A 9,550-nucleotide genomic window follows, 5' to 3' on the forward strand; every position below is an offset into this window, starting at 1 on the left:
GAGACGGGTTTTCACCATGTTGGCCAGGCTGGTCTCGAACTCCTGACCTCGTGATCTGCCTGCCTCGGCCTCCCAAAGTGCTGGGATTTACAGGCATCAGCCACTGCGCCCAGCCTCCCTTTTCTTTTTTTTTCTTTTTTTTTTTTTTTTTTGCTGACTCATGGGTTAGAATTCCGGATTGGGCAAATACATAAATATTTTGTACATGACGGGAGGCAGATTTCATCATGTGAGTGAAGCGAGATGCAAACACGAAAGGAAGTCCTTCAGGGCAGTCTTGTAGTGAAAAAATAAAAATAAAAATGAAAAAAAGAGGCTGGGCACGGTGACTCACGCCTGTGATCCCAGCACTTTGGGAGGCCGAGGCGGGTGGATCACCTGAGGTCAGGAGTTCATGGTGAAACCCCATCCCTAGTAAAAATACAAAAGTTAGCTGGGTGCAGTGGCATGCGCCTGTAATCCCAGCTACTCGGGAGGCTGAGGCAGAAGAATCACTTGAACCTAGAAGACGGAGGTCGCAGTGAGCCGAGATCATGCCACCACACTCCAGCCTGGGCGACAGAGACTCTGTCTCAAAAAAATAAAAAGGCCAGGCACGGAGGCTCACGCCTGTAATCCCAGCACTTTGGGAGTCCAAGGGGGTCGGATCATGAGGTCAGGAGATCGAGATCATCCTGGCTAGCACTGTGAAACCTTGTCTCTACTAAAAATACAAAAAATTAGCCGGGCGTGGTGACGGGCACCTGTACTCCCAGCTACTCAGGAGCCTGAGGCAGGAGAAGGGCGAGAACCCAGGAGGCGGAGCTTGCAGTGAGCTGAGATCGTGCCACTGCACTCCAGCCTGGGCCACAGAGTGAGACTCCGTCTCAAAAACAAATAAATAAATAAATAAAAAGAAGAAAGAAGATGGATGGAATGACCCCCGCGGTGTCGGCCTGTGAGGGTGCTGTCGGGCCCGAGCGCACAGGCTTGAACGGATGGGCGGACGGGCGACACGCACGCACACACACACCCCAACACAGCACATCTGCCCAGAGACAGTCACACCTGCACAGCGCGCTCCCAGCGCCCTAACCTTGGTTTCTAAATATCATTCTCCACTAAAGGGGCTGGGCGCAATGGCTCACGCCTGTAATCCTAGCACTTTGGGAGGCTGAGGCAGGCGGATTACCCGAGCTCAGGAGTTCTAGACGAGCCTGGGCAATGTGGCGAAACCCTGTCTCTACTAAAAATACAAAAAATTAGTCTCTACTAAAAAAACAAAAAATTAGGCCGGGCGTGGTGGCTCACGCCTGTAATCCCAGCACTTTGGGAGGCCGAGACGGGCAGATCATGAGGTCAGGAGACCAGCCTGGCCAACATAATGAAACCCCATCTCTACTAAAAATACAAAAAAAATTAGCCAGACATGGTGGCAGGCGCCTGTAGTCCCAGCTACTTGGCATGCTGAGGCAGGAGAATCTCTTGAACCCGGGAGGCGGAGGTTGCAGTGAGCCTAGATCGGGCCACTGCACTCCAGCCTGGGTGATGGAGGGAGACTCCATCTCAAAAAAAAAAAAAAAAGATTAATCCTGGCGGGTGCCTGTAGTCCCAGCCACTTAGGAGGCTGAGGCATGAGAATCGCTTGAACCCGGAGGCGGAGGTTGCAGGGAACCAAGATTGCACCACTGTACTACAGGCTGGGCAAAGAGCGAGACTGTCTAAAAAACACAACATAACAAAACAAAAAATAATAATAACATATATCATTCTCCACAAAGCCAACCAGGCTTCTTTGAAAAATGACTGACTCTCGGGCTGTGGTGGGAAAGACACCAGAGGAGCGGTCATGTTGGCTGCGCCGAAAGTTTGTGATCTAGGAATGAACTCAGGGTTGGCCGAGGGAGGGCGCAGGGGGCTTGAAAGGCAGAGTACGTAACACAGTAAAGGATCAGAACCCCCAGTAAAACAACAGCCCACAAGGCCATGCTGATGAACGAATGGCAAAGGAGGGGAAGTCTTTCTTCCCAGCACAAAGTCAATCCATGATCATCAGAGTGACAGAATGAGAAGCCACCATCTGGCCACCATCACGATCATCATCACAATCACGACGAGTCACCAAGAGACTAAAACTACTGAGTAAAAGCTTAGAAACGGCCGGGCGCGCTGGCTCACACCTGCCATCCCAGCACTTTGGGAGGCTGAGGTGGGCGGATCACAAGGTCAGGACATCGAGATCCTCCTGGCCAACACAGTCAAACCCCATTTCTACTACAAAAAATTAGCCGGGCATGATGGCGCGTGCCTGTAATCCCAGCTACTCAGGAGGCTGAGCCAGGAGAATCGCTTGAACCCAGGAGGTGGAGGCTGCAGTGAGCGGAGATCGCGCCATTGCACTCCAGCCTGGGCGGCAGAGCGAAACTCTGTCCCAGAAAAAAATAAAGCTTAGAAACAAGAGGCTATGTAGTCTCGAGATAGATCCAGCCCTATGAGGCACATGTCAATCACAGAGGGAAAGCTATGCACGCACAAAGCATGTGTGAATCAGAGAGAAAGCTATGCACGCACGATGAGTAGAAGACAAACACGTCCTGCAAGGAGACGGAGGCGCAGGGAGGGGGCGGCAGCCGTCCTCCCAAGACATGAGGACTTCTAGTTCAGTCTGAGACCTTGGTGCAGGGCTGGGCGAGTAAACAAATGCAAAAGAATAAGGACCTCGAGGTCGGGCGCGGTGGCTCAAGCCTGTAATCCCAGCACTTTGGGAGGCCGAGGTGGGCGCATCACGAGGTCAGGAGATTGAGACCATCCTGGCTAACACAGTGAAACCCCGTCTCTACCAAAAATACAAAAAACTTAGCTGGACGTGGTGGTGGGTGCCAGTAGTCCCAACTACACAGGAGGCTGAGGCACGAGGATCACTTGAACCTGGGAGACGGAGGCTTTAGTGAGCTGAGATTGCACCACTACACTCCAACCTGGCTGACAGAGCGAGACTGTCTCAAAAAAAAACAAACAAACAGGTCTGGTGTACCCAGAATGGAGGCACCACGAGTTGCTGAAGAAGGAAACTTTATTCAGTCTATGATACCAGGACAGTTGTCCATGCTGCCAGGCAAAAAGAAAAACTGGATTCTGATCTCATTATCAGTACACAAACAGCGACAATTAGTAACACTGACACAGCCCTGACTGTGCTGCTGGAGGGTCCGAAGCACTCTCTGCACAGCGGTGAATCCCCACAATAGCCCTCTGGGGAAGGTGCTGTTATCACCCACGTGAGACACACGAAGGAAAGACACGGCTTTGCAGCAGCAGGGTCACGATTCGAACCCAGGTGGCCTGCTCTTATGATAAACTTAAATGTGTAAAACTTTATGCTCAGGAAAATATAAGAGAATGTCTTCCTGACCCTTTTTGGGGTAGGACAATAATTTCTCTAACCAAACCCCAAAAGCATGACCCATTAAAAAAAGGGTCAGGTGGACTAACTTGGCTAAATGAAGAATTCTGTTTCACCAAAGTACACCACAAAGTGGGCCGGGCGCAGTGGCTCATGCCTGTAATCCTAGCACTTTGGGAGGCCAAGGTGGGCGGATCACTTGAGGTCGGGAGCTCGAGACCAGCCTGACCAACATGGTGAAACCCTGTTTCTACTAAAAATACAAAAATTAACCAGGTGTGGTGGTATGCACCTGTAATCCCAGCTACTCGGGAGGGTGAGGCAGGAGAATTGCTTGAACCCAGGACGGGGAGGTTGCAGTGAGCCCAGACTGCGCCGCTGCACTCCAGCCTGGGCAACAGGGTGAGACCCTGTCTCAAAAAAAAAAAAAAAAGGCCAGACTTGGCTCACGCCTGTAATCCCAGCACTTTGGGAGGCTGAGGTGGGTGGATCACCTGAGGTTGGGAGTTCCAGATCAGTCTGACCAACATGGAGAAACCCCATCTCTACTAAAAATACAAAGTTGGCCGGCATGGTGGCACATGCCTTTAACCCCAGCTGCTCAGGAGGCTGAGGCAGGAGAATCACTTGAACACGGGAGGCAGAGGTTGTGATGAGCCAAGATCGCGCCATTGCACAACAGCCTGGGCAATAAGAACAAAACTCTGTCTCAAAAAAAAAAAAAAGAAACAAAAAAAAATATATATATATATATACATACCATAAAGTGAAATCAACAGCCACAACCTGGGAAAAAATACTTGCAACATGGCAAAGGATTAATATCCAGAAAGTATAAAGAATTCCTACAAACCAAGTAGAAAAACAGGCAAAAAAAAAAAAATGTTGGCGGGGCATGGTGGCTCATGCTTGTAATCCCAGCACTTTGGGAGGCCAAGGCGGGCAGATCACCTGAGGTCAGGAGTTCGAGACCAGCCTGGCCAACATGATGAAACTCCGTCTCTACCAAAAATACAAAAATTAGCCAGGCGTGGTGGCAGGCGCCTGTAATCCCAGCCACGCAGGAGGCTGAGGCAGCAGAATCACTTGAACCTGGGAGGCGGAGGTTGCAGTGAGCTGAGACTGCGCCTGCTCCAGCCTGGGTGACACAGCAAGACTCCGTCTCAAAAAGTAAAGAAAAAAAAAAAACAAAACAACATATTTCACAGAGAAGAATTTATGTTTTTGGAGAAGGAGTTTCGCTCCTGTCGCCCAGGCTGGAGTGCAGTGGTGAGATATCAGCTCACTGCAACCTCAACCTCCCAGGTTCAAGCGATTCACAGAGGACAATTTCTAAAAGGCAAATAAGAAGCAGGAAGGGTGCATGCTCCTTCTCTACTGCCCTGTAACAGTCATTCCACACTTACCACCTCAAAACAACAAATGCTTTTGATGTTGGCTCCTGTGGGGCAGCAATCTGCGGGAAGCTTAGCCAGGCACCTCTGGCTTAAGGTCCCTCCTGAAGCTGCAGTCACACCATGGACCAGGGCTGTGACCTCATCCGAAGGCTCAACTGGGGCTGAGGCCCACCTCTGAGCTCACTCAGGTGGACGCTGGCTGGGTTCAGTTCCTTGCTGGCTATAGGTGGAAAGGGCCCCCACCAGTTTCTTGCCAGCTTCTCCACAGGACGCCCCACAGCCTGACAGGAGCTTTCATCCAGCAAGCTCATCAGGGAGTGGGAGAGAGCAGCCAGGACAGGAGCCCAGACCTTTCTGAACCTCATCTCAGAAGTGACATCCTTCCCTTCTGCTGTCTGGGCACAGCTCCCCGGGTGGAGCCCGAGGACTAGAAGGAAAAGAAAACTTGGATTTAAAATGGGATAAAGCCATAGGAGCTGCTCGTCCCACCACAGGAATCTCAACGCCGGGTTACTGACAAAGCGTCACTTTGCACCTCGTCCAACTGTGCAGACCTCTCCTAGCCAGGCCCCTGCACCAGAGGTTAAGAATCCGTGCCCCTGGTCAGGAAGTCCAGGTGGGTTCAAACGGCCAGCAGGGAATTTCAGGCAAAATGTGTCCCAAATCTTCAAACCATGCCCCAGAACTCAGACCTCCCCCTGGGAGTTCGTCCCAAGGAAACCACCTGCAAGAGGCTCAGGCTGCAGGGGACACTCCGCTTCCAAAACCCGGAAGCTGGAGACCACACAAGTGCCCAACGCCAAAGGCACCCCGTGGAGGGACGCCCTGTGCCCTCCCCCGACCAGGTGACCCGCTGCGCCCTACACATCTTCACCAGGAAACATCTGTTATCGATGTGGACGAAGCGCAGCCTGCACTCCCAGATCCGCTCATTTTCGTTCTGCCCTCCGTTTTACGATTCGCCTACACTGAAAATGCGTGAGTGGAGTGGAAAGCCTTCCTACTCCTGCCTCAGCGACCCCTTCTAAAATACTGCCTCGTTTGGCCTGAAAATGTGATTTGCAGGCTTCCTGAGCAAAGTAGATTTCACTCCATTAAAGAAAAAAAAAAAGAAAAGGCACCGAACGGGGCTCGGCTGTCGGGAGTTTTGCTTTAGTTTTTTGCGTGTTTTGTTTTGTGTTTTTTTGTTGTTGTTGTTCTTTTTGCGGCCACGCACACCGCGTTCCCAGGCTTCAGGGCGTGGGGGTCGCCGTGGACTCCCGGACGTGAAAACGCTTAAAGCCAGCTGGGAAAACCCCACCAGCGTTTTCCGCGCACAGCGCCAGCCATAGGAAAGGACCCCCAGGAGCGAATCCGGGCAGGGAAACCCCGGACGCCCGCACACTCAGCATCAGTACCGGCACCCAGCACCCAGCACCGAGCACCGAGCACGCAGCACCCAGCACCGATCACCGAGCAGAGCACCCCGCACGCAGAACCCACCGAGAGCCTGATGCAGTCTCCGCCGCAGGCATAGCGCTAGGCCCCGGCGCCTTCACAACAAAGGGACGCTGGCGGGCGGGGCCTGAGAGGCGCGCGGTGGAGGGGCCGGGCGCGAGGCCGCGGAGACAGCTCGGAGCTCGGCACTGGGGAGTGGCACAGCGCTGGCGGATCCAGGTGGGCTTCACGGGGCGCCCGCGGGACCGGAAATGACGCGCAGAACCCTGCATCGGGCTCCTCGCTGCCCCGCGGGCGCCGCTCCTCAGTGCCCCAGAGCCACGGAGCCGGGGAAACGCGCCGCGGCCCACAACGCCCCCGCGGCTGCCCGTTGGTTCCGCCCGGGCCGTTCTACTCCAGGCAGACGGGAGGAGAAACACGGCGCGCTCAGCGTCCCCTCCCCCGTTGGTTCTGCTCGGGCCCTTCCACTGCAGGCCGACGGGGGTGGAAACACGCAGTTTTTTTTTTTTTTTTAAGGTCTAGGGTAACACGGGGCTTTTAAGTGCCTCTCCGCTGCCGCCTGGTGGTCCAGCCCGGGCCGTTGCAGTGCAGCCACACGGGGAGGGACACGGCGCGCCGAGTGCTCCGGGCGGCCGCACGTTGGTTCCGCCCGGGCCGTTCCACTGCAGGCAGAGGGAGAGGACGACGGTGCGCGTAGTGCATCCCCGTGGCCCGTTGGTTCCGCCGGGGCCGTTCCACTGAAGGCAGAAGGGGGGGGACCGTGGCCCCACCCCCCGCGGCAGCCCGTTGGTTCCGCCCGGGCGGTTCCGCCCGGGCTGTTCCACCAGCGGCACTTCAGGGCGGGATCGGCCAGTCTGTGGAGGCAGCGGCCTCTAAGCCCCGGAGGGTTTACTGCCCAGGTTTGGGTTCCAGGAATAAGAAATCCACTGAATAGGCTTAACTTAGAAGACACAAAGGCGCCTCCTGGCGGAAGTGGCCACGCTCCGCCCAGCCTGAGGGAAAGCTGCTCTGACAGCTGGGCCCGGAGCTGCGGGGGGCGGGGCCGCCGCGCGGGGTGAGGACTCGCCTCAGGGCGCTGATTGGCTGGTGGCGCGCTCCGGGGCGGGGCCTTCGTATCCAGGCTGGCGTCGGGGCTGCCGCGGGACATCCGGAGCAGACACCCGCGGGCGCGCCTGCGGCCCCGAGGACCCCCGGCTCCGGAGCTTCGTCGAGCGTTTTCCTAGCGTTACTTTCCCAAATAATTTTCAGGAATGAAGTTACGGCTAAAGGGCTCTTTAGAGATTACTTTTGGGCCGGGCCCGGTGGCTCACGCCTGTAATCTCAACACTTTGGGAGGCCGAGGCCGGCGCATCACGAGGTCAGGAGCTTGAGACCAGCCTGGTATGGCCAACGTGGTAAAACGTCGTCTCTACTAAAAATACAAAAATTGGCCGGGCGTGGTGGCGGGCGCCTGTAATCCCAGCTACTCCGGAGGCTGAGGAAGGAGGATCACCTGAACCCGGGAGGCGGAGGTTGCAGTGAGCCGAGATGGCGCCACTGCACTCCAGCCTGGCGACAGAGCGAGACTCCCTGTCAAAAGAAAAAAGAAAAGATTACTTTTGGCCGGGCGAGGTGGCTCACGTCTGTAATCCCAGCATTTTGAGAGGCTGAGGCGGGCGGATCGCCTGAGGTCAGGAGTTCGAGACCAGCCTGGCCAACATAGTGAACCCCCCCCCATCTCTACTAAAAATACAAAAAAAAATTACCCGGGTCTCGTGGCGCGTGCCTGTGGTCCCCGCTACTCGGGAGGTTGAGGCAGGAGAATCGCTTGAACCTTGGAGTTGAAGGTTGCAGTGAGGCGAGATAGCGCCGCTGCTCTCCGACCTGGGCGACAGTGGGAGACTTCATCTCATAAATAAATAAATAAATAAATATTACTTTTACGTTTTGTTAAACTTCCACTTGTTTTTGTTTCCGTTGCATGAACCTTCGTAAAGCTTCAGGAGGCTGATGGCAGCCTCCTTCCCCAGGCTTCCCCGTGGCGCCCGCAGCCGGGTTGGGCCAGAGGCTGGGACTGTTTCCTCCCGTGGGGTCTTTGGTGGGGATGTCCCCAGAGGAGTGGGGCAGGAGGAGGGGCACGGAGCGCCCCCGGGAGCCGGTCAGAGCGCAGCGATGGTGTCTGTGGTTCCAACCACTCGGGAGGCTGAGGTGGGAGGATGGCTTGAGCCTGGGAGCTTGAGGCTGCAGTGAGCTAGAATCACAGCACCACACTCCAGCCTGGGCGACAGAGTGAGACCCTTGTCTCACAAAAAAAAAAAAAAAAAAAAAAAAAAAAAAAAAAAGGCTGGGTGCGTTGGCTCGCGCCTGTAATCCCAGCACTTTGGGTGGCCGAGGCGGGCGGATCACGAGGTCAGGAGATCGAGACCATCCTGGCTAACACGATGAAACCCCGTCTCTACAAAAAATACGAAAAAAAATTAGCCGGGCATGGTGGCACGTGCCTGTAATCCCAGCTACTTGGGAGGCTGAGGCAGGAGAATCACTTGAACTCAGGAGGCAGAGCTTGCAGTGAGCCAAGATTGGGCCACTGCACTCCAGCCTGGCGACAGAGTGAGACTCCGTCAAAAAAAAAAAAAAAAAAAAAAGGAAGAAAGAAAATTATAAAATGAAGTGAAATTAACGCAGTGGAGTGCCACCTGCCTGCTGCCTGAGTTCACTATCCACACGGAGTTCATAAATTTGAGAGCAGTTTACAAAGTAGATTCTCCTACTTTCCAGGAAACCCAGAAATGTCTGGTGATTTGCCCAACAGTCTCAGCTGTTGTGGTCAGCAGGGCCGCTGTGGTATCCAAATGATTTCAAAAGCAGATTTATAAAAAGTACTCCTTTTTTTTTTGAGATGGAATTTCGCTCTCATCGCCCAGGTTGGAGTGCAGTGGCACGATCTCAGCTCACTGCAACCTCCGCCTCCCGGGTTCAAGTGATTCTCCTGCCTCAGCCTCCTGAGTAGCTGGGATTACAGATGTGTGCCCTCACGCCCAGCTAATTTTTATATTTTTAGTAGAGACAGGGTTTCACCATGTTGGCCAAGATGTTCTCCATCTCCTGACCTTGTGATCTGCCCGCTTCAGCCTCCCAAAGTGCTGGGATTACAGGCGTGAGCTACCCCACGCCCGGCCTTTATTTTTTTTTGAGACGGAGTCTCACTCTGTCGCCCAGGCTGGAGTGCAGTGGCGCGATCTCGGCTCACTGCAAGCTCCACCTCCCAGGTTCAAGAGATTCTTCTGCCTCAGCCTCCCGAGGAGTTGGGATCACAGGCACCCGCCACCATGCCCAGCTAATTGTTTTGTATTTT

General features: G+C 54.4%; 1 protein-coding gene across 2 annotated transcripts in view, besides 5 other annotated features; it reads right to left on the minus strand.

The window, feature by feature from the left end:
- SLC35E2B (solute carrier family 35 member E2B) overlaps positions 1-6,608 on the minus strand; it is a 31,318-nt gene extending 24,710 nt beyond the window's left edge. Inside the window, exons 1-2 of one of the 2 annotated variants that reach the window (NM_001290264.2) lie at positions 6,262-6,608; positions 4,789-5,206 (exon numbers count right to left, since the gene is read on the minus strand). The gene's annotated coding sequence lies outside the window, so the exon portion shown is untranslated. The remainder of the gene's footprint in view (positions 1-4,788; positions 5,207-6,261) is intronic. The other variant, NM_001110781.3, reaches the window with a different exon arrangement.
- Positions 993-1,150: a silencer, noted in NCBI's record as "fragment chr1:1618619-1618776 (GRCh37/hg19 assembly coordinates)". NCBI's record gives its function as "represses an EF-1alpha promoter that drives an FKBP-Casp9 reporter gene in an ReSE screen in phorbol 12-myristate 13-acetate-treated (for megakaryocytic differentiation) K562 erythroleukemia cells {active_cell/tissue: K562(+PMA)}" and the evidence as "EXISTENCE:reporter gene assay evidence [ECO:0000049][PMID:32094911]".
- Positions 2,293-2,793: an enhancer, noted in NCBI's record as "H3K4me1 hESC enhancer chr1:1619919-1620419 (GRCh37/hg19 assembly coordinates)". NCBI's record gives its function as "activates a minimal SCP1, AML or CMV promoter by ChIP-STARR-seq in primed H9 embryonic stem cells {active_cell/tissue: H9 hESC(primed)}" and the evidence as "EXISTENCE:reporter gene assay evidence [ECO:0000049][PMID:30033119]".
- Positions 6,143-6,437: an enhancer, noted in NCBI's record as "tiled region #15043; K562 Activating DNase unmatched - State 18:Pol2". NCBI's record gives its function as "activates a minimal TATA promoter and a strong SV40 promoter by Sharpr-MPRA in K562 cells {active_cell/tissue: K562}" and the evidence as "EXISTENCE:reporter gene assay evidence [ECO:0000049][PMID:27701403]".
- Positions 6,272-6,431: a silencer, noted in NCBI's record as "silent region_87". NCBI's record gives its function as "represses an Ori minimal core promoter by ATAC-STARR-seq in GM12878 lymphoblastoid cells {active_cell/tissue: GM12878}" and the evidence as "EXISTENCE:reporter gene assay evidence [ECO:0000049][PMID:35858748]".
- Positions 7,002-7,081: a silencer, noted in NCBI's record as "silent region_88". NCBI's record gives its function as "represses an Ori minimal core promoter by ATAC-STARR-seq in GM12878 lymphoblastoid cells {active_cell/tissue: GM12878}" and the evidence as "EXISTENCE:reporter gene assay evidence [ECO:0000049][PMID:35858748]".

The sequence above is a fragment of the Homo sapiens genome, chromosome 1 (genome assembly GCF_000001405.40).
Source record: "Homo sapiens chromosome 1, GRCh38.p14 Primary Assembly".
Classification (NCBI taxonomy): Eukaryota; Metazoa; Chordata; class Mammalia; order Primates; family Hominidae; genus Homo; species Homo sapiens.